This window comes from Homo sapiens, chromosome 4 (genome assembly GCF_000001405.40).
Source record: "Homo sapiens chromosome 4, GRCh38.p14 Primary Assembly".
Classification (NCBI taxonomy): domain Eukaryota; kingdom Metazoa; phylum Chordata; class Mammalia; order Primates; family Hominidae; genus Homo; species Homo sapiens.
The window spans coordinates 152905201-152929917 of NC_000004.12; the positions used below are offsets into that span (position 1 = coordinate 152905201).

Here is a 24717-nt window from a genome sequence, read left to right on the forward strand (position 1 = left end):
AATACCTAGGAGTGGAATAATTGTGTTACATAGTAGCTGCATGTAAGGTTTTAAGAAACTGACAAACTTTTCTAAGATGCTTATACCATTTTGCATTCCCAACAACTGTGTATGATAGTTTCAGTTGCTCAGCATCCTGGTCAGTAAGGAGTATGGTCAAGGTTTTTTAATTTTAGCCATTCTAGTGTATGTGTAGTGGTTTTAATTTGGATTTTCCTAATAACTAAAGATGTTGAGCATCTTTTTATGTGCTTATTTGCCATCTGTGTTTTCCTTGATGAAATGTCTGTTCAAATTTTTTACCTGCTTTTTGGTTAGGTTATTCTTACTGAATTGTAAGAATTGTTTTTTTTTTTTTTTTTTTTTTTTTGAGATGGAGTTTCACTCTGTTGTCCAGGCTGGAGTGCAGTGGCGCGATACGGGCTCACCGCAGTCTCCACCTCCCGGGTTCAAGCGATTCTCCTGCCTCAGCCTCCCAAGTAGCTGGGATTACAGGTGCCTGCTACCATGCCTGGCTAATTTTTATATTTTTAGTAGAGACAGGATTTCATCATGTTGGCCAGGCTGGTCTTCAACTCCTGACCTCAGGTGATCCACCCACCTCAGCCTCCCAAAGTTCTGGGATTACAGGCATGGGCCACCGTGCCTGGCCAAGAATTCTTTATGTATTCTAGAATCAAGTTCTTTGATACCTGTTTTGCAAGTATTTTTTCCAAATATATGGCTTTTTCACTTTTGTGTCTTTTGAAGAGAGAAATATTTTTGAAGTCCAATTTATTGATGTTTTTCATTTATAATTTATGCTTTGTGTATATTGTTTAAAACTCTTTGCCAAACCAAAGATCATTAAGATTTTCTCTTATGTTTTTTTCTATAAGTTTTTGTAGCTTTAGCCCTGACACTTGGGCCCATGATCCATTTCAAATTAAATTTTGTATGTAATTTGAGATACAAGGGTCAAGGTTCATTTTTCATGACTTAATCCTTGAATCACTTCTCTGTCCACTCTCTTAGGCGCTTATCTAGTCATGTGGCTTTAAATATCATCTGTATATTAATGACTCCCAAATTACAACTCTAGCCCAAACTGCTATTTTAAGAGATATCTCAAGCATGTCCAAAACTAAGCTGTTAATATCCACCTTTTCTCCTCTTCCATGCCTGCCCCTCTCACAGTCTTTGCCATTTCGGTAAATGCAACTTCATTCTTTCAGTTGCTTGGAGCAAAACTCTTAGCACATCTTTGAGTGTTCTCTTTCTCTGTCACCTCCCATCTTGATCTGTTGTCAGATTCCATTGGCTTCATCTTCACATTATATTCAGAATCCCACCTCTTCTCACGATCTCCTCTTTTACCACTGTAGTCCAAGCCACCATTACCTCACCCAGGTTATTGCTGTAATATTCTAATAGGTCTCTCTCTACTTCTACCTTTGCATGTTTATTAAATTAAGTGTTGTCATTTTTCTGCTTAGAACCTACCAGTAGCTTTTCATCTCATTCAGACAAGGAGCCAGATCTTTTTAATGATATCTAAGGGCCTGCACCATCTAGCAACCCATTACCTGTCTTACCGCATATACCAGGCCCTTATTCACTCTGCTGCAGTCATAGAGGCCTTGTTGGTGCTTCTCAAACATACCAAGCACACTGCCTACCTCAGGCCGTTTGAACTTGCTATTTCCTCTGTGTGGAATGTTTTTCTTCCAGATAACTTAAAAGTTTATTCTCTCACTTCCTTAAATCTGTATTCAACTGTTACCTCAATGAGCCCTTCCTATTTAATTGCAACTCTCACCCAGACATACATCTCACATTCCACATTGCTGCTTTATTTTTCTCTGTAACATGTATCACCATCTAACATACTATATATGTTAGATGTTTCTCTTTCTTCCCTCAATAGAACATAAACTTCTTTTGAGAAGAGATGTTTGCCTTTTTTGTTGATTGCTTGCATTCCCAACCCCTAGAGAAGTGCCTGACACATAACAGTATGACCCTGTGTAATATTTATTATATGAATGGAGGTAAGTAACATTTTAGGTGGTTTTTTCCCTCTGAATATAAAATGGGAACATTGTGAACAGTGCAAGTCTTCAACAAAGTTGATGTAGACAGACTTCAGCTCTCATAATCTTTTTCTCTTTTTTAATAAAAGAATGTTTAACATACAGACAAAATATAAAGAGTAACAAAAATAACAAAAAAAGCAGCCATGTTCCCACCACCCAAGTTAAGAAACAAATATTATTAATACTTTTGAAACATCCTTTGTGCTTTACCCTTACTTTATCCTCTCTACTGTCCTCCCTCTATAAACCTATTCTGAATTTGTTTATTGTTCCTATTGGTTTTCTTTATAGTTTTGCCACATATGAATATATCATTCACATATGAATATATCATTCAGTTTGAACTCTATGTAAGTGGAATCCTACCACAGGCATTCTGCAAGTTGTTTTGCTTGACCTGATACTCCTGAGTTTCATCCATAGTGATGCATGTAGCTACAGTTCATTTATGTTTACTCCTATATAGTATCCCCATTGCGTTGAGAGACCACTCTATCTGTTCTCCTGTATATACAACTTTGTGGTGGTTTTCTTGCTTTTTTAATGCTAAAAACAGTGCTGCCATGAACATAATTGTACATGTTTCATGAAACACACATGCAAGTTTTTCTATGGCAGATTCTTAGCGGTAAAATTACAGTTCCATAGGGCATTTATATCTTTCATTTTACTAGTTCGTGCCAGATTGTTTTCAAAAACAATTGTACATATTTATACACCCGTCAATAGTATATAGTTGTTATAATATTTAGTTTTCTTAATGTGGAGGGTATAAAGTGGTGTCACATGTTAGTTTTAATTTGAGTTTTCCTATTTCCTAATGAGACTAGATATCTTCTCAGTTGTAATTAGCCATTCCTGTTTCCTCCTCTGTGAAATGTTTATCTGTGTTATTTGCTCTTTTTTAATTGGGCTGTTTTTGGTTTCTGGGAGTTCTTCATATATTCCAGATACACATTCTTTGCCAGTTACATATAAAGCAGATACCTTTTCCCAGTATGTAGCTTATCTTTTCACTATATTTTCATGAATGTAGCTTATCTTTTCACTATCTTTTGATGAATATTAGGCCGGGCACGGTGACTCACGCCTGTAATCCCAGTACTTTGGGAGGCCAAGGCGGGCAGATCACGAGACGGTCTTGGCCAACATGGTGAAACCCCGTCTCTACTAAAATACAAAAAATTATCCAGGCGTGGTGGTGCGTGCCTGTAATCCCAGCTACTTGGGAGGCAGAGGCAGGGGAATCGCTTGAACCCGGGAGGCAGAGGTTGCAGTGAGCTGAGATGGCGCCACTGCACTCCAGCCTGGCAACAGAAGCAAAACTCCATCTCAAAAAAAAAGAAAAGAAATTCTAAATTTTAATGCAGTTTAATTATCAATCTTTTTCTTTATAATTTATGGGTTTTATAAGCCTTACTTAAGAAATTCTTTCACATATAACATCATACAGTGATTTTTCTACCCTCTGTCAGGGCAGATTGCCCTTGAAGCGCTCCCTAGACCTGTCCCTGACAACCTGTTCTACAGAAGAGATCTGAGACTCAGTCACAATGGCAGAGGTGACCGAGACCAGCTCAGTTTTGGAAATCATTTTCAGAAATGGCTAGAGAGAAGTGTGTGTGTGTGTGTGTGTGTGTGTGTGTGTGTGTGTGTGTGTGTGTGTAATATAGTGAAACAAATTTTCTATCCTGTTTTTTCATTTAGCATCGTGTTTCAAATATTTTTACATCATTTATTATTAAAGTTCAATTTTAATGAATGTCATATTGGATGGGAATCAGAATTCTTATTTAACATTTTGCAGTTGTAAATAAGACCTCAGATGTCCGGGCTTGGTGGCTTACGCCTGTAATCCCAGCACTTTGGGAGGCTGAGGCAGGCAGATCACCTGAGGTCAGGAGTTTGAGACCAGCCTGGCCAACATGGTGAAACCCCATCTCTACCAAAAATACAAAAATTAGCTGGGCATGGTGGTGCACACTTGTAATCCCAGCTACTCGGGAGGCCAAGACATGAGAATCACTTGAACCCTGGAGGCAGAGGTTGCAGTGAGCCAAGATTGTGCCACTGCATAACAGCCTGGGTGACAGAGCAAGACTCTGTCTCAAAAAACAAAACAAAACAAAAGAAAAACAACCTCAGGAAACAGTTTATAAATCTTTTTGATGCATTGTTTATTTCTTTAAGAAAGACTTATAGAGGTAGTATGACTTGGTTAAAATATACTCTTGATATCAGCAGAAGTAATAAGCAGTTGAAAATAATTGAGAGTCATATGAGCGTTAAGTAAATTGATTTTCTGAGCAACACTTGCTACTTGCTTGATTCTTTACAAAGAAAGTCAATATTTAAAAGTATCCAGCCTACTTGGCTTACATAAAGCTTAGATTTAATGATGTCCATATTTACTATTCATACATTGTGTAGCAATTATATATAATTTTCCCTTTTTGATATCTCACATGATTTTGAATGTACTTAGTTTGAGGAGGATTTAATGATATTTTTAATTAATCCTCTCAATAATGTTTGAAAATGGTTAATAGGGTATATATTTGGGCATCTTAAAACTGACCTATTCTCTTTAGGGTAATTAAAAAGTCATCAAAGGTTCAGTGACCCTGCAAGGCAGTGTACACTTGGTATGTGTGAAATACTTGGTCATTATTAAGCCAGCTTTTCTTCAAGAGAGATACACTATTTAATTAAGGAATGTAATAAATCACTCTCTATTTTATTGTTATTGGTGTTAATGCTTGGTCTTGTAACTCTGCCCTGTCCACAGGTTAAAGTATTGCACAATCAGCTGGTCCTTTTCCACAATGCCATTGCCGCTTACTTTGCTGGGAATCAGAAGCAGCTTGAACAGACACTTAAACAGTTCCATATCAAATTGAAAACCCCTGGAGTGGATGCCCCATCTTGGCTTGAAGAACAGTAAAATCACAGCGGAAAATAAAAAGAAAGTCGCGTTGTTATATTTCTAAACCAACCTAACAAGAATTAAGCAGAGTTGGGGGAAGTGGGAGGGGTGACAAGCATTATAGTGATTCTTGCACAAACAGCTTTAATTTTTCCCTTTTTCATACTTTAACAATTGAACTGTTAAGGGTGGTTTTAATGTAAACATAGTTTCTATAATCTGAACACAATAATTTTCCTTTTTGAGAAATCCTTTTGTATTGTGAGGGTTGATGGCTATTTCTGTAGTTTGAAAACATCTAATAGAGATTTGCACTGACAAGATAAAAATTCAAGGTTTTTGGTCCTGGAAATGAGGGCCGATTGTAACTTTTCCAAAGGGAGGTTTACATGATTTGTATCAACATCAGATATTTTATATGTGAATATATTAAACATCTTTAAGAGATTCATTTTCATGTATTAAAGAAAAAAGAAACTATTTTGCAGAGTAAAGTTATATGGTGTTCCTGCAGCGTCCACACAGAGGCAGCAGCTCTAATGAATGATTAGCTTGTGGAGTTGTGGCAAATACCTTTTTAAAAATGAATCTGTACCACTGTAATTTTATTTAGACTTTTTTTTAAAGACACAGAAATCACACTGTCATTTCTGTGAGGCTTTTAAGCTTATGAATTTGCTTCACCCGAAGTCATTGGACAGTTACATTTGCAATTTCTTTTGGTTCATAACAAAACCTGCTTAAGAGAATTTTTTTTTTTGACAGGTGGACGTGGGAATGGAAATTCTTAATGGTTTCTGGAGTAGAAATCTGTACTTAGAAAACTAGTTTTTGGGTCAGTTCCATTTTGATAGAAGTGAATACATAGACAGCTTTTATTGACTTCCATATGTAACAATACCGTTTAAGCCTTAAATCACAGATATGTGCCTTCTCAGATACAGTAATTCTTGTTCAACCAATGTACAAAATCCATAAAGAAACCCCTGTTGGATAATGTTTGATGTGTCTATTCCTTCCATGGAATGGAGCACTATGTATGAATGTTGGGTTTCTTTGTACTTGTTAAGCCACATTTGAGGTTTATGGTAAAAATCATCTTTTGAGTTTGCTCTTTGGTTTTTCTTCATTCCTTTTGAGGATTGGGAAAACAGAAAGATTCTTTGATTTGGGTAATGAAGAGGTAATTTGGGACAGTGTGGTGGTACCAGGAAGAAAGAGGATTGGAAAGGCCAGTACTGTTTTAGTTGCTCGGCACTGTTGGTTTTGTTTTAATGTGGTTGCCCTGTCCACTACATGGTTCTATCAGTAGTGTAATCCATTTTCAATGTAAAGCTCTTTTAGTTTTTGTCATAGACATAAATTAATATTTTGAGAGGCATCCCTCACCTGTTCATTTCTTCTGTGTTGAAATGAAGTACTTAAAATTACCGTTATACATGAACTTTGTGGACTGTAAGATTTGTTATATATGTTCAAATGCCTTTTAGCTGGCTTTTTAATTAATATGCCTGTTTTGAGTGCTTAATACAATGTAATGTGATTGTAAATCATACCTATTTTAAATCATTCCTTCCTGTATATTTGTACTCAGAGAGCCTTATTTTATTCTTCCAGCAGAATTACTACTTGTGATAGTTCATTTACATTCCCCAGAATGTGCCTCTAGTGTGAATTTTGTATTCTTATTAAACGTGTTTGCTGCAGTAAATCGTTTCTCTGGACCTTCATAGTTTAAGAAGTAACTATTTGGAAATTCTGAAGACACATAATTTGCGTTTTCTGAACCTTAAAAAAAAAGGTACTTCTGTCACTTATAATTGTTTTAGCTCAGTAAGCTATTTTTTTTCAATGTGAATCTCTTTTGAGAGCTGAACATGTCCATTCTTAACCACATTTCAATAACAGTTACTGTAGCTAAGGAGCTAAATAGTTTCATGGATTAATTTTTTTCAGAATAAATTTAAAATATCCATGATTCTGATAGTGGGCACATGACCAAAAGAAAAAAGTAAATCAATATATTTAGCCAATGGTACATTTACTTTGTTAGGAATGTAATTTATGTTCATTATAGAAAAGAATTAGAAGAAAATTTCAAGTAATAGAAGATAAGTACCTTCCCAAGTGAATAAATACTGCATGGAACCACTCAACACCTCTGAAGTTGGATATTTTAGTTTTGGATTTTAATATACAAGCTCTATTTTGAATATCCTTTAATATACATTTACATCTTTGCACTTTTACTTACTTACTCCCTTAGGTTATAGTCCTAGAAGTGAAAATGGGCCCTCAAAAGTATATACATACTTCTAAAACTTTGTAATATATTGCCTGTTTGCTTTCAAGAAAGACTGTGCCAATTTACACCTCTAAGAGCATACACATGTACCTGTTTAGTATATTTTTTAAGCCAGTGCTGTATATATAAAATGAAATAATGAAAGAGAAAAACAGGAAGATAAAGGCTGAACAATCACCAACTGGAGAGTTTGGGGATGCTGGGTGTGAGAGCAGGGAATGGATGAAAATGGCTGGCTTTTCTGTCATTAAAATAGAAGTTGTTATTCTAGAAAAAATAATGCACTGAGGAACTGGTCTGTGAAATTAAACTTTTCATCCCAAAGCTTCCAAATCTTAGGGTCCAGGAACTATCTGGGTTTGCAAAAGCAATTTAGCTGAAATCTAGGCTTTAAGAAGCATCTTTTCCATATTCAAAACACACTGATAATGTTACTGAAGCTTATCCTATAGAGTGTGAAACTAGAATGTTCCTTAGAGATTATGTAACACACTTTTTTTTTAACAGATGAAACTATCAAGGCTTCAAAATATGTTAAACTGACTTAGCCAACCCCCATCTCCAAATGTAATGCTGGATGAGTATTTGCAACTATATACTTCAATTCCCCTTTAAATCCTGCCATTTCAACCGCATAATTAAATCAATGTGTCAAAAGTGTCAAGTTTCTTCTAAAGTTAAGTTTAATGTGTATTAAATATCTTCCCATTGGGGAAAAAATCCATCTCCCCGCAAATGGCTTCATACTAGGTAGATTGCAAAGTATGCAAGATGCTTGCCTTTCTATCCACTGACCTTTAACTTGCAGTATTCTGCAAAAGAAATCAGGTGAGCTTGAAAAGTGTTACATAAAGTAAAATTATGTATATTGAAAAAACTAAAGATAAATTTCTTCTAATCATGGAACTGTTAATTGAAAGAATAATGTAGCTACCTCAAAATGTGCCCATTCTTTAGTTTTCACTGGAGATGACTGTAGTTTTGAAAAATAAAAGTAAATTATCTGAGTTGCTAGTCATTCAAGTATAATTTATGCTAATTTCGTAAAGTACTACTTAAATACCTATTTGCAATAGTCCTAAATATCCTTTGCCAGTAGCTCTTTTCTTTTTTAACCTTTCAGTTTGCCTGGGAGAGTTGAAACTAGCTGAAATCTTTGATCACTCATTTATTTATTTATTTATTTTTTTTGAGACGGAGTTTCACTCGTTGCCCAGGCTGCGGTGCAATGGCGCGATCTTGGCTCACTGCAACCTCCGCCTCCTGGGTTCAAGCGATGCTTCTGCCTCTCAGCCTCCCAAGTAACTGGGATTACAGGCATGCGCCACCACGCCTGGCTTATTTTATATTTTTAGTTAGAGACAGAGTTTCTCCATGTGGGTCAGGCTGGTCTCGAACTCCTGACCTCAGGTGATCTGCCTGCCTCCACCTCCCAAAGTGCTGGGATTACGTTACAGGTGTGAGCCACCACACCCAGCCCTAATCACAATTTTAACCAAATTTAGGTATTTTCAAAAATCTAATTCCCCTTTAAGACTACAAATTTTTACATTAGCTAAGACTATCCAGTTGTAAGTAGGCTATTTTCTGATCAGAAGACCAGCTGTATTTTGCATTATTTCAAAGCTTTCCCAAGGTCACAGTTCCTTTACTATTTTTACAGTATAGCAGGACCTATTAAAATAGGACAATGCAAACAATTTTTTTGAGGACTTTCATTAAATTCAGTTCTATGTTCCCACTTGAAGGTTTCCTGTTCAACAGATTTTGCGCATAAATGGGCCTTTATAATAAATTGCCAAGTGGTCATCGTAATGTACAGGAAACGACAAAGTTCAGCTTTGTTTTCATGAAATAAAGTTTGACTCTTAGTAGTTTATGTATGTTAAGTGAGGACTGTTAGTCTGGTATCAGCTCTGGTAGGGAAAAAGGAGACTAGAAATATGAGGGAATTAGGTCCAGTCTGAGCACCATAACTCTACTCTTGTGCAGTTAATTGATTAGTATGCTATCAGAACTGAGAATTCTGGGTTTTTTAAACAACGGAAACTGTTCCACAAGAACCAAAATCACAGTTTTGTTTGGGTCCAAGCTAGGCTTTGCCATAAACTCTGTCAAAGATTGCATGAATTGTTGATTCATAAGGAAGATGTAAGAGGAACAGGATACCATTTTGTCGATTTTAAAAGTAACTTTCTATGACTTAGACTTTCATATCACTTTGCCTTTGGTACAGGTGTATATGTTCATATAAATAACTTACAGGTGAAATGTACATCTAGCTGGTATAGGGCACATAGGAAGAAGAACCATAGCCATATACCTCTCACTACATCTTGAAGCTTTGATTATTGACATTCTACTAAAAGCAAACTCTGTAAAAACTTTTTTTTTTTTCAAATGAGTGTAAAGCATTATAGAGTAGTGAGAGGAAAGGTAACTTTAATCTTGCCAGCCTTCCTGAAAAGTTTTTAAATTATGAAGCCTTAGAATAATAAAGTACTCAAGATAAATTATTTATATATGCTACTTTACTGTTATTCTCCTCCTAAATGATTTCTGATTCTATGTTAGGAAGCTTTTTATAAAAACTGCCTAAGGCTTTAGGCAGATAATTATTCTTTCCTTTGAGGAATATATACTTATTATGACTAGACATTCAGCTCTTAAGAAAAGCACGGGGTAGGCTGTCTTATTCACCCTGTATCCCCAACTCCTTGCATAGTTTTCTTTTTTGAGACAGAGTCTCACTCTGTTGCTCAGGCCCAGCTAAGTTTTGTGCGTTTAGTAGAGACAGGATTTCGCCATGTGTGTCAGGCTGGCCTCAGACTCCTTCAATATACGTAATTCCTCCCGCATCGGCTTCCCAAAATGCTGGGATTACAGGCGTGAGCCACTGTGCCAGGCTTCCTTGTATAGTTCTTAATTCAAAGGAGCCATGTATAAAAATTTGTTTTTTTGATCCAAAATTCAAATGCAGAAAAATATTCAGTGCTTGCACTGCAATTTCATTTGAATGAGTTACAAAGAGGCAGTACACTTATAACTTACTCTAAATTAATGTCAGGATGTTACCTAAGACAGTAGGATGTTTACAGAAGAGTGGCCAGTTTTTTAAATAGCCGTTCTTCTGTAATGGCCATTCTTTCTGTAGTAGAAAGAATGGCAGAATTAGAGAAATCACCATGTTGAAACCATGACTGAAATAATTGATTTACACAGGGATGGCCAATGGATGCTAATATCATTAGGTGAGAGATTAATGGAAAACAGACTATTTCCATAATACCAAAGTATTACCCTACAAATGGCTCAATTTGAAATGGGAAAAAGTACCATTAATAAGAAGAGATTTGTGCTTACAACCTAAATTGTGATCAAATTTAGAATCATGAATAGTAATCATTGTGCCTTGGATATAATGAGATATAAATTATACAGTATCACGTATTTCTGCTGGAATTGTTCAATCTGCAGCTAATCAAGTATTTTACCTTAAATTCCAGTGTACAGAAGATACAGGGGGTTAAGGAACAATTTAAATGTTACCAAGAAGAATCAATTGGACAAATCCAGAATCTGAGACATTCTACAACATAATTGGCTTGGTTTCTTCAAAAAGTCCATCACAAAAGAAAAAAAAAATTAGTAATACTGTTAGAAAACAAAAGATTTGAGATCATAATTCAAAAAAAGTAGCTATATAAGACATTTGAAGGAAAAACTGAGTCACTTGAGTGTGTATTTGACACTGCTAGGAACTTATGTTTTTTTAGGTATGATATTATATTGTGGTAATATAGGGGAACAGCTTTATTAGGAATGCATGCCTAAACTACTTAAAGCCAAAGTGGCATGATGTATGCAGTTTACCTTTAAATGGCTCAGCAAAAATACATACATTCATATGTATTCACATATATGGAGAGAAAGCTGGAAGAGAAAAAGGAGAGAAAGATGTCAAAGTAAATATGGCAAAATGTTAGCAATTGTTGAAATAAGTGGGTGGATATGTGGGGTTCCATAGTACTAGTCTTTTTCTTTTTAAAAATGTTTTTCATAATAACATTAAAAAAAAAAAAGGATATTTGGTCCAGAAAGGCAGCAGGACCCACTAAATCTTTCCTCTTGCACCAGGGTTGCAATCAGAGGCTTTTTTTTGTATAGAGAGTGACACCACTTGCTCTACTCCTACAGATACTACAATTTCTCCTCTAGCATGGGAGATAAATTGATTTGTATTTGGAAACAGAAATTCAAGTAAGCATAAAGTTGAGCAGTTTGTCAATAAAGAGTACAGGACAAGTGAAGAGGCAAAAATAGTTTAGGATATGACTATGTAAAAAGATTCCATATAGGAAAACATGCATTCACTAAACTGGACCTTTTTCTCTTGTTTTTTCTCCTCGGCTCATTTCCAAATTGAAGCTTTTCGAAAAAATTGCTATATTTACTACAGGTATGTGCCACCATGCCCAACTAATTTTTGTATTTTTTGTAGAGACAGGTTTCGCCATGTTGCCCAGGCTGGGCTCAAGTGATCCTCTCGCCTCAGCCTCCCAAAGTGCTGGATTACAGGTATGAGCCACTGTTCCCGGCCCCAAATTGATGCTTTCTAAATAGCTATTTGAAAGTTCAAGGGAAGTTAAATTCAAAAACAAAACACTAACTTTCTTTTAGCCTAATAATGATGGTTTTTTCTGTCTCAATTTTTTTGCCCTCTTGTAAATTAGCATATACTACTATTCTGTACTACTATAGATTTTTTTAAATGAAGCTGCTTAGAGCTTTATTTACTATAACAACTTGAGACCGCTTAAAAATAAGTATTTATACACTGGTAATTTTTAATAATGGTTATTTCCAATCCAAAAATATATTTTGTGAGATGGCCACGTTTTCCCTAATTCACACTTCTAAAATTAATAAAATTGCTTAACTCTTTAAAGCATTCCTCAAATAAGTAAAGGATATTTATTTATATTGTTCTCAAATTCTCTTTTTCCAATTCCCCACCCCATCTCAGATAAGAACAAAGAAAATACTATGGATTAAAATTTTCTGACTAGTTTATATCAATAACAGAAGTAGCAAAAAGGCCAGGCAATGTTTGGAGAATTGAGTTTTAACCATGGCAATGGTTACTATATAATCACTAGTACTATCAAGTGAGTTAGAAAAAAAAAATGTAAGTTTAAACAGTCATGAGTATTTGCTGAATGACTGGTCAGCTTGCCTGTGTTGACTTTCATTCGCCGCCTGATTCCACTAACACCTTGAAGAGGGTCAGATGATTCCTGAAGTGGGCACTAACAATTTCTTTTTTCTCAAAATTTTGTTTCTCTGAAAAGGTTCACCATATTTTCTCTGTGAAGCTTAGTTAATATTTTTCTCCAATGAAGCCAGCCATAAAATGAGGAAAAAAATTCGTTAGAAATAGCAAATGAACAGCCATGTCTAATGACAAAATTTTGTGTGTGTCTATAAGAGACCTTGCCTAAACTCACAAGGGAAAGGCAAGTATTAAAGCTTCATAGTAGGCTGTGGCCCTAACTTGCCCCTTTGTTCTTTTAAAAAATATATAATGACATACTAAGAGGCTATTGTGCTGTCTTCAAGTTTTCAAGCTTTTGGAGTCACTATTTATGCTTATGACTAGAGCAATGAAAACAAGTCTTTTTTCCCCAAACACAAGTAGCTTCAGTCCAAGCCACTCCAGACTTCCTTGCCAGTGACCTCAACACTGACCTTGATTTATTCTAGGAAGAACTCTGCCTGTTTAGTTCTTTTAGCTCATTTTTATGTGAATTCCCATTCACTAGTAGTGAACTAACTTCAACAATTTCATTTCTAGTCTGCTGACTTTTCATTATTATGGTTTTGTTTTTCCTTACAGTAGCCTCTTTGGAATCCTGTACACCTAGCTTATGGAAACGTGTTAGCCCAAGCCATGGCAGAGCCAGGTAATTGTCTTATCAAGGCCATACTTAGTCTTGTTTAAAAGCAGGCATCCCCATCTCTTTGGCGTAGCCCTAAAAGAAGTGGAGGATCAAAGCCACATGCTTCAATTCTCAGTCCTCTTTGCCTGATCACTTTATCAAATTTCTGAAGAAAGAACTCAATCCATCCCTCTTCTTCCCAAACTGTGTCAAAGCTGGAGTTGTTTTTCAGTCCAACACTGAGCCACGTTGCTCTGGGTGGAGCATCAGCATGTCTTCTGAAAGGTTTCACTTAATTGGCCTGTATAAGTCTACATTTCTTGGTTCACCTAAAATCTTATGATACCTGGCTGTTCCCTTCATGCACTCTTACATCTTAACTCACTGGTACTATCAAGTAGATTATTTTTTAAATGTAAGTTTAAATGGTCATGAGTATTTGCTGAATGGCTGACTGGTCAGCTTACCCACGTTGACTTTCACCACCTGATTCCACTAACACCTTGAAGAGGATCAGGCTTCAAAGAGCTTGGATCTAGCAGATTTGCTTCTGGCCCATAGAAGCCTCTTGAGGGCAAGAACTGTTTTGAACATGTTTGTAGCCCTCCTCGTGCTTTGCACGTAAAGGTCACTCAATGTTTTCAATAATGATAATTAGCATTGCTGGGGCACTTAGCCTTCAATGACTGGAGGCCCACTGGCAACATTTGCTGGTGATGAAAATCACAAGCAATGTGAAAATACATTGACTACTAACAGCTGTCGAGCCTTGAAGGTAAATACTACAAAGATGTGAAGTTGAATAAGACAGGCTTGCCCTTAAACTTTTGGGTTTAATGGGGAGAAAGTCCATACAAATCATAAGGAGTGAATGGTCAGGAGAAGGGAGGGATCAGTGTGGAGAATATACAATTAGTGGTTGAGGATGGAGGCAGCCAGCCTTCAGCTCCAGACTGGAATGTCTTAATTCTGAGCATGTGTGTTTGTTGGGTGGGGAAGAAGGCATTTTACCATTCTACCATGGCAGCTAGGTCAGTGAAGATGGTCCTATCCATGTTGCCAAATAAATCTCACATAAATCTTAAATATAGTACAATATTATTTCTGTGTAGCCTTTGAATCTTAATACTTTCTTTTTCCCCACCAGACATTCTTAACATAGAATGCTTGACTCTTTTTTACCTAGTAGCACTAGAATATATTTGGACAGTTGAAGTGGCAGAATTCATCTGAAGCTTCTAGGTCATTAGGGTCATTGTTGGCTAGAACATTTAGCAATTTATATGACTTTAGTTTTGATTTAGAGGCCAGTCTAACTGCTGCCATTTTTTAGAAGGAAAATAAGTTAATAACGAGTTAGCCTACCTGTTCAAGTGTGTGGATTCTAACTACAGGCACACAAGGACTGGGTTGCATGGGTGTTTCAAGGTCACCCAGGGGAGACAGAGTCTACAAACATGGCTTTCTGGAATTGGAAGGCAATTCTGGTAGGGAAGTTCTTTTTTTTTTTTTTTTTTTTTTTTTTGGAGACTCTCTGTGTTGCCGAGGTTGGAGTGCAGTGGCGCAATCTTGGCTCACTGCAGCCTCTGCCTCCTGTGTTCAAGCAGTCCTCCTATCTCAGCACCCAAGTAGCTGGGATTACAAGGTGCCTGCCACCACAGCTGGCCAATTTTTTGTATTTTAGTAGAGACAGGGTTTCACCATATGGTCAGGCTAGTCTTGAACTCCTGACCTCAGGTGATCCACCCCCATTGGCCTCCCAAAGTGCTGGGATTACATGCGTGAGCCACTGCACCTGGCCTGGGAAGTTCTTTATTATAGTATCTATTTTTGCAATCTGATGAAGAAGAAATTGACTGATTGTGACAGAGAACACACACACACACATAAAATGTGTCTTCCTTGGTTATCTCAAGAACTTTGGCTAAAGGTAGAATAGTATATGACTTTTGTTAAAAACCTTGATGCCAATAAAAAACTGAGGATAAGTCATAACCTTCAAGTCAAAACTAATGAAAAGGGTACTTGAATTAGTTAGACATAGGAAGTGTTTCCTGAGTCATAGTGAAAATTTTCTGATTTGTAAAACAATTTAAAGCCAAGAGCACAGAATATTAGGTTGGAAGGAAGCATTTCCTTTAAGATAAAACATTTTTAGCATCAGGCCACAACAAACAGTTGGAACCCAAACAAATAAAACTTATGGGAGCTAAAAATTAGTTGAAGGATAGAGTTATCATTTTAAGCCTTTAAAATGAGGAGAGAAAGCTGAAAACAGTGAGATGCAATAAAAGTTTAAACTTTGGGTTAAAAAAATAAAAATCTCTTGTAATTTTATTAAAAGTAAATCAATACCTTAAGAAAATTTCATTGTTCTACCGAATTCTTTAGTATATAAGTGTCTTTTTAAAAAAAAAAACCCAATCTCTAGAAAGACCATTATAAATAATTTCCCTTTAATTATAGACAACTTGATCATATATAAGTTTTTTCCTTAAATCCTCTTGTTATGACTTACACAGACCATTCATGACATGCTTGGACTTTCTGGTTTGTCCTGAACATCCCTTTTTCTTAAACAACCAGTCATTTTATTCTAAGGCAGAAATCTACCATATAAAATTATTTCTCATATAAAATTATTTTCCTTTTAACCTTTCTTGCTAAAAATACCTGTTATATTTATAACTTCCTTTACCTTGCTTTTATTTACTGGTTACTTTTACCTTATTTCATAAATAACTTTTAAATAACTTTTGAATTAGACAAAAATTATTTTCCTTTAAATAAGAACACATTTCTTTTTTAGAAAAAATATTTTCCTATAATATATATTTTTAAAAAATTGGAAATGACCCAGACATTTAATGAGTATCCATTATTTAACTTAATATAACTTTAGATTCTAACTTATATGACAAGTTTATTTACAAGGATTTATTCATCACATTTATCTAATTAATTTTTTAATATTTTACCCAGATTACTTATGAAAACTGTGATAGTTATCATTTAATGTTATTTCCCAGTTAATCATTTTTATAGTCTGTGAATTTCAGGTTTTCCTAAGTAAGAACCTTACAGTTAGATAAATATTTTCTTTCCTTCCTTCCTTCCTTCCTTCCTTCCTTCCTTCCTTCCTCCCTCCCTCCCTCCCTCCCTCCCTTCCTCCCTTTTTCCCTTCCTTCCTTTTTGCCAATAACTCAGAGTTTAGCTGTTTCCATTAACTGAACAATATTAAATACCTTATTTATCAAATTTTGCACAAGCAAAGATAATTTTCCTTTGGGCTGCATTCATAGCTTTATAACCCTCATGCCAAATTTTGACATCTAGCAGAGATAAATATGAAATCATTTTACCAATAAATTTCGACACAACATACCAGAATCTCTGGGACACATTCAAAGCAGTGTGTAGAGGGAAATTTATAGCACTAAATGTCCACAAGAGAAAGCAGGAAAGATCCAAAATTGACACCCTAACATCACAATTAAAAGAACTAGAGAAGCAAGAGCAAACATATTCAAAAGCTAGCAGAAGGCAAGAAATAACTAAAATCAGAGCAGAACTGAAGGAAATAGAGACACAAAAAACCCTTCAAAAAATTAGTGAACCCAGGAGCTGGTTTTTTGAAAGGATCAACAAATTGATAGACCACTAGCAAGACTAACAAAGAAGAAAAGAGAGAAGAATCAAATAGACACAATAAAAAATGATAAAGGGGATATCACCACTGATCCCACAGAAATGCAAACTACCATCAGAGAATACTACAAACACCTCTACACAAATAAACTAGAAAATCTAGAAGAAATGGATAAATTCCTCGACACATACACCCTCCCAAGACTAAACCAGGAAGAAGTTGAATCTCTGAATAGACCAATAACAGGCTCTGAAATTGTGGCAGTAATCAATAGCTTACCAACCAAAAAGAGTCCGGGACCAGATGGATTCACAGCCGAATTCTATCAGAGGTACAAGGAGGAACTGGTACCATTCCTTCTGAAACTATTCCAATCAATAGAAAAAGAGGGAATCCTCCCTAACTCATTTTATGAGGCCAGCATCATCCTGATACCAAAGCCGGGCAGAGACACAACCAAAAAAGAGAATTTTAGACCAATATCCTTGATGAACATTGATGCAAAAATCCTCAATAAAATACTGGCAAACTGAATCCAGCAGCACATCAAAAAGCTTATCCACCATGATCAAGTGGGCCTCATCCCTGGGATGCAAGGCTGGTTCAATATACGCAAATCAATAAATGTAATCCAGCATATAAACAGAACCAAAGACAAAAACCACATGATTATCTCAATAGATGCAGAAAAGACCTTTGACAAAATTCAACAACCCTTCATGCTAAAAACTCTCAATAAATTAGGTATTGATGGGACATATCTCAAAATAATAAGAGCTATCTATGACAAACCCACAGCCAATATCATACTGAATGGGCAAAAACTGGAAGCATTCCCTTTGAAAACTGGCACAAGACAGGGATGCCCTCTGTCACCACTCCTATTCAACATAGTGTTGGAAGTTCTGGCCAGGGCAATTAGGCAGGAGAAGGAAATAAAGGGTATTCAATTAGGAAAAGAGGAAGTCAAATTGACCCTGTTTGCAGATGACATGATTGTATATCTAGAAAACCCCATCGTCTCAGCCCAAAATCTCCTTAAGCTGATAAGCAACTTCAGCAAAGTCTCAGAATACAAAATCAATGTACAAAAATCACAAGCATTCTTATACACCAATAACAGACAAACAGAGAGCCAAATCATGAGTGAACTCCCATTCACAATTACTTCAAAGAGAATAAAATACCTAGGAATCCAACTTACAAGGGACGTGAAGGACCTCTTCAAGGAGAACTACAAACCACTGCTCAAGGAAATAAAAGAGAATACAAAGAAATGGAAGAACATTCCATGCTCATGGGTAGGAAGAATCAATATCATGAAAATGGCCATACTGCCCAAGGTAATTTATAGATTCAGTGCCATCCCCATCAAGCTACCAATGACTTTCTTCACAGAATTGGAAAAAACTACTTTAAAGTTCATATGGAACCAAAAAAGAGCCCGCATCCCCAAGTCAATCCTAAGCCAAAAGAACAAAGCTGGAGGCATCACGCTACCTGACTTCAAACTATACTATAAGGCTACAGTAACCAAAACAGCATGGTACTGGTACCAAAACAGAGATACATCAATGGAACAGAACAGAGCCCTCAGAAATAACGCCGCATATCTACAACTATCTGATCTTTGACAAACCTGAGAAAAACAAGCAATGGGGAAAGGATTCCCTATGTAATAAATGGTGCCTGGAAAACTGGCTAGCCATATGTAGAAAGCTGAAACTGGATCCCTTCCTTACACCTTATACAAAAATTAATTCAAGATGGATTAAAGACTTAAACATTAGACCTAAAACCATAAAAACTCTAGAAGAAAACCTAGGCATTACCATTCAGGACATAGGTATGGGCAAGGACTTCATGTCTAAAACACCAAAAGCAATGGCAACAAAAGCCAAAATTGACAAATGGGATCTAATTAAACTAAAGAGCTTCTGCACAGCAAAAGAAACTACCATCAGAGTGAACAGGCAACCTACAAAATGGGAGAAAATTTTCGCAACCTACTCATCTGACAAAGGGCTAATATCCAGAATCTACAATGAACTCAAACAAATTTACAAGAAAAAAAAACCAACAACCCCATCAAAAAGTGGGCCAAGGACATGAACAGACACTTCTCAAAAGAAGACATTTATGCAGCCAAAAAACACATGAAAAAATGCTCACCATCACTGGCCATCAGAGAAACGCAAATCAAAACCACAATGAGATACCATCTCACACCAGTTAGAATGGCAATCATTAAAAAGTCAGGAAACAACAGGTACTGGAGAGGATGTGGAGAAATAGGAACACTTTTACACTGTTGGTGGGACTGTAAACTAGTTCAACCCTTGTGGAAGTCAGTGTGGCGATTCCTCAGGGATCTAGAACTAGAAATACCATTCGACCCAGCCATCCCATTACTGGGTATATATCCAAAGGACTATAAATCATGCTGCTATAAAGACACATGCACACGTATGTTTATTGCGGCACTATTCACAACAGCAAAGACTTGGAACCAACCCAAATGTCCAACAGTGATAGACTGGATTAAGAAAATGTGGCACATATACACCATGGAATACTGTGCAGCCATAAAAAATGATGAGTTCATGTCATTTGTAGGGACATGGATGAAATTGGAAATCATCATTCTCAGTAAACTATCGCAAGAACAAAAAACCAAACACCGCATATTCTCACTTATAGGTGGGAATTGAACAGTGAGAACACATGGGACACAGGAAGGGGAACATCACACTCTGGGGACTGTTGTGGGGTGGGGGGAGGGGGGAGGGATAGCTTTAGGAGACATACCTAATGCTAATGATGAGTTAATGGGTGCAGCACACCAGCATGGCACATGTATACATATGTAACTAACCTGCACATTGTGCACATGTACCCTAAAACTTAAAGTATAATAAAAAAAAAGAAGAAAAATAAATAAAAAATTAAATTTAAACAATAATGTATGTTGACGATTCTGGAGCCGTTTCTAATTTCTAGTTCATGAATGCCTTTAAAACCAGCTTATTTACTAAAGATTTATTCAAGTTACATGAACTTGAAATAGCATTTGACTTAAAGTCTCTATTTTTTCTGATAAGGTATTTGATTTAAAGCAACTCTTTTTTTCTTTAAGCCAATTAATTAGACCTCTTTTATATATTTTTAGCAATGAAACATATGACACATAAATGCGTAGATGTATTAGACATGCAGACAGAAGTAGATCTTTTAGGTTCATAAGACCTTTTTTTCCTTCTATTTTAGACTTCCAATTTCTTGGTAGCCTATTTTATTACCCTAGGCAGTTGTCAGCTAGATAGCCCTAAATTTGTACATTAAAGGAACTCTTAGGTGAAAAAATCAGATAGCTAAATTTACATCTCAAGGTACAGAGAGAAAGAGTCTGATGGAAATAGAGGGAAATTAAAAACAAATGCCAAATCAAACATAAAATTATAGAAATCTATCATAGGATTGTATAAGAAGACCAATTTTATTTAGATAGGTAGTTCTAAACTGGATCTCCTCTGGACTGAGCCCACACTGAATCCTGGGTCTCCAAAAAGAGAATTAATATGAGGCTAAGACCACATGATGCTTTTACAGTGCATCCTCCTTTTTTTTTTTTTTAACAAAGACATTTCCCTAAGTGTCTAATCCATACTCTTCCTTACTTTAAACTCCCAAGGGTAACCTCTGTTATAGTAACTATTTTAGTGAAAAAGAAGAAGAGGGAGAAGGAGAAGAAGGAGAAGAAGGAGAGGAGAAGAAGGAGGAGAAGGAGGAGGAGGAGGAGGAGGGAGAAGGAGAAGGAGAAGGAGAAGAAGAAACCAGGTAACATAATACAAAAGCAAGGAGTTTAAGACCTGAGATGAACTTGTCTGTTTACGCTCTTGGGATTCCATAAGGAAAAACAGAGGTTTCTCCCCAAAAGAGAGTCTGGCACCTCCTCTGTTTTCTTTAAGGAATGCCTGTTAGAAACAGGCTGTTAGAAACTATTTTAGGTTCCTCATGCAGCAGAGGGTGGCAAGAAAAAGGAGAGACAGCAGAAACAAATGAAAAAACAGATTCAGTCCACTGAGAAGAAAAAAAAAACTTGATAAAAACAAACAAACCAAGGTCCTAGGAGGGAAAAAAACAAAACAAAACATGAAGGCCTTTAAAATACAGACACACACACACACACACACACACACACACACACACAAACAATACACACAAACACATCTTGGATGTTAGCTTTTAATTAAGCTGACTTTTAACCATTAAGCTCCCTAAAAAAAATTCTTTTAAATCTCATTTCCATATTTTAGCTAGGACACATTGCTGATATTTCAAAAGTTACACGAATACCAAACCAGAAAGGGCTTGATTTAGGAACAAAACCCAGGCTGATGTGATGAAAAAAAAAGGGCAGAACCTTAGTTACCAAACTGCAGTGTGAGGTGATGCCATTGCTTTTTTAGTTTGGCTTGGTTAGTTAAAAAAAAAAAAAAAAAGGTGGCCTTGTTATGTAACTGAAGCCCTTTAGGTAATCTAAATAAAAAATCTTTCCCTTTTTTTTTCTTTTGCTGGCCGTTTTTTCTTTTTCCCTTTTTTTCTTTTTCAATTATGGGAATTTAGCCAATTCAGAGGCCTTGTTCCCCACAATTTGGACTTTCCTTTGGATTTCATCAAGGCTGATAGAGTTGGTCAAACCCAATGGGAAAAAAAAAACAAAACAACAAAAATACAAACAAGCAACAGTAACAACAAAAACAGCTAAGCAAATCAAACAAACAATTGCACAATTTATATGATTACTGAGTACTCTAATGGTAAGAATTTAAGACCAGCTGATTGTGAATCTTAACTTTAGCTAAGACAGAACCCTGATTCGGCTACTTATCTAAGAATGGGTCTCAGGCTGAAGACTGCTCTCTACCATCCTAGAAGCAGGAAAAATCTCAAATTGTTTTGAAGTGAGCTCAGACTCCACAAAAGAGTTACCTGCCTTCCATTGTCATGGAAGTAGGAAAACTTGCTCTCCTTGTTGGAAGCAAGTGAAACTCCAGAAGAGGGGTTGTATAGCCAAGGAAACTTTAGATCTCGACCAAGTTTTGGGAGATCAGGGATTCTCTAAACGGGAGGCTCCCAGGCCTCAGCCAAGTATCCTATTGGTTTGAGCCATAAAGTAAGCTCAAGCTGGTACCAAGCACCAATAAGAAATTTGTCAAAGGTCAGGGGAACCTCCACTCAGAATCCCGTTGTGGTTGCCAATTGTGAACCCAAAATATCTGAGACAGGTCTCAGTCAATTTAGAAAGTTTATTTTGCCGGGACTCTATAGTGGCGATTGGTTGTTTCGTTATGGATGGAGGGGATGATGGTAACCTTGTTATCAAAAAGAGGTTTGTGTCTGAGGCAGAACTAGATGAATGGTGCAAAAGGAGGCAAGAAGAATGGGAGAAAGTTCGAAAACCTGAAGATTCAGAAGAATGTCCAGAGGAGGTTTATGACCCTCGATCTCTATATGAAAGGCTACAGGAACAGAAGGACAGGAAGCAGCAGGAGTATGAGGAACAGTTCAAATTCAAAAACATGGTAAGAGGCTTAGATGAAGATGAGACCAACTTCCTTGATGAGGTTTCTCGACAGCAGGAACTAATAGAAAAGCAACAAAGAGAAGAAGAACTGAAAGAACTGAAGGAATACAGAAATAACCTCAAGAAGGTTGGAATTTCTCAAGAGAACAAGAAGGAAGTGGAAAAGAAACTGACTGTGAAGCCCTTAGAAACCAAGAACAAGTTCTCCCAGGTGAAGCTGTTGGCAGGAGCTGTGAAGCGTAAGAGCTCAGAGAGTGACAACAGTGTGAAAAGACTGAAACCGGACCCTGAGCCAGATGACAAGAATCAAGAGCCCTCATCCTGCAAGTCTCTCAGAAACACCTCCCTGAGTGGCTCCTCCATCCACTGCCCCTCTGCTGCAGTCTGTATCAGCATCCTCCCAGGCCTGTGCACCTACTCTGGGAGCAGCAACTCTGAGTCCAGCGCAGACAGTGAAGGCACCATCAATGCCACCGGAAAGATTGTCTCCTTTATCTTCCAAACCAATACCTTCCTTGAGGCCCCTAGTTTCTCTGTCCTTACACAGGGAGCTCCTCCCCAATGGTAGATCGGACCATTCACGCTGCCTTACAGGCATTATGTCCCTCAAAAAAAAACTCCTTTGCCTGCATCCTGTGCACAACATGACATTTTTAACCAATCCAATCTAAAAATGTGCTAGAATCCATCTGTGGCCTGAATCGTGTTTGGTTTCTCGTTCTACTCCAGTGCAGATGACCAAACCTGTCCTGCTGCCACTTTCCTCACTGATATTGGGAGGAGGGAAAGGCCCAGCTGAAGTTCTACTAAAAATGCCCTAGGAGAATAGGCACCGGTCGACTTGCCAAAGGGTTTAGGCTTCATTGCTTTCTGTTTTTTACTTTTCCCCAACAACACAAAGAAGTAAGGGCAGTTATTGGACAGGTGTTATTTAAACATTCTATTGTAGATGAATGTGTTGTTTGGTTCTACTGCATTGTGGAGCATGTGGGGGAAGAGAACTGACCCGGGTGATGAAATGGAGCCCTTCCCTGGAACTCACCAGTCCTTGATGTTGTGTGACTAAGTAAAGATGATAAACGTCATCTGCTGGGGGTGTCACTTCACACTTGGCATGCACTGTGAAAGCTTTCCGTATCCTTGGCCATTCCCTCTCCCCTCTCTATCCAACCCCATTTATGCATGAAAGGACTGCTAACAAGAAAGCTTCCATCTCAAACCTTTTCTCTGCTTGGGAAATTATTTTATGTTTGTTTTTGAAATAAAGGATTTAGTTTAAGATTCTAAATTTTAGAGAAAAAAAAAGAAAGTTTATTTTGCTAAGGTTAAGGACACACCCATGACATAGCCTCAGGAGGTCACAATGACATGTGCCTAAAGTGGTCAGGGCACAGCTTGGTTTTATACATTTTAGGGAGACATGAGACATCAATCAATATATATGTAAGATGTACATTGGCTCAGTCCAGAAAACTGGGACAACGAGAAGCACAGAGGGGCTTCCAGGTCATAGGTAGATAAGAGAGAAATGGTTGCATTGTTTTGAGTCTCTGATTAACCTTTTACTAAATACACAACTTACATGTGAGAGGGGGCATAGAGGAATAGTCACTTATACCTTGGTCTGGCTTAGTGAAACAATAAGGCAAAGGAAGCACAGATATGCATTTGTCTCACATGAGCAGAGGGATGACTTTGAGTTCTGTCTGTCCTTTGTCCACAAGGGATTTCCTTGTGTGCAAACTGTGAGGGAGATATGTCACTTTTTAATCTTGGTAGCTATCTCATTTAGAAACAGAATGGGAGGCAGGTTTGCCCAACGACGCAGTTTCCAGCTTGACTTTTCTCTTTGGCTTAGTGATTTGGGGGTCCCGAGATTTACTTTCCTTTCGCACCATCAAGGGACTTCTGTAGACTCTGTACATGAGTTCAGGGATCACCAGAGACCCCCTTTTTATGAGTTCCCGTGCAGTGGAGCTGCTGAGGTAGGATTAATTTCTCTGCCTTCTTCCCCTGCCATAGACAATGTTTAACCTGATTATGCTCTGCAGGCAAGTAGCCACCCTTGGATATTAATCTCCTTATCGAATAAGATAAACTGTGAAGAAGGCATGCCGTAAAGGAGGGAATGCAAAGCTAGAAAATATGTTCGAATCTGTCATGGGAAGCATGGAGGGAGAAATGAAGATGTGTGGACATCTAGTATTTTCTCTGCTTTCCCTTCTCTCTGGTCCTT

The 24717-nt window shown here is 37.1% G+C and overlaps 2 protein-coding genes and 1 pseudogene across 7 annotated transcripts in view; all 3 read left to right on the forward strand.

Moving 5' to 3' along the window:
* The window catches only part of ARFIP1 (ARF interacting protein 1), a 132404-nt gene extending 125247 nt beyond the window's left edge, over window positions 1-7157 (forward strand). For all 6 annotated transcript variants that reach the window (NM_001287432.2, NM_001025595.3, NM_001025593.3 and 3 more), the window contains one exon: window positions 4864-7157. In NM_001287432.2, the coding sequence (NP_001274361.1) occupies window positions 4864-5019 (156 nt within the window). In that variant the 3' untranslated portion in view covers window positions 5020-7157. The remainder of the gene's footprint in view (window positions 1-4863) is intronic.
* Window positions 6139-24717, forward strand: part of FHDC1 (FH2 domain containing 1) — a 68333-nt gene continuing 49754 nt past the window's right edge. The window contains exons 1-3 of the mRNA XM_047416336.1: window positions 6139-6802; window positions 11808-11884; window positions 13203-13269. The gene's annotated coding sequence lies outside the window, so the exon portion shown is untranslated. The remainder of the gene's footprint in view (window positions 6803-11807; window positions 11885-13202; window positions 13270-24717) is intronic.
* On the forward strand, window positions 22213-23784 carry FAM192BP (family with sequence similarity 192 member B, pseudogene; annotated as a pseudogene).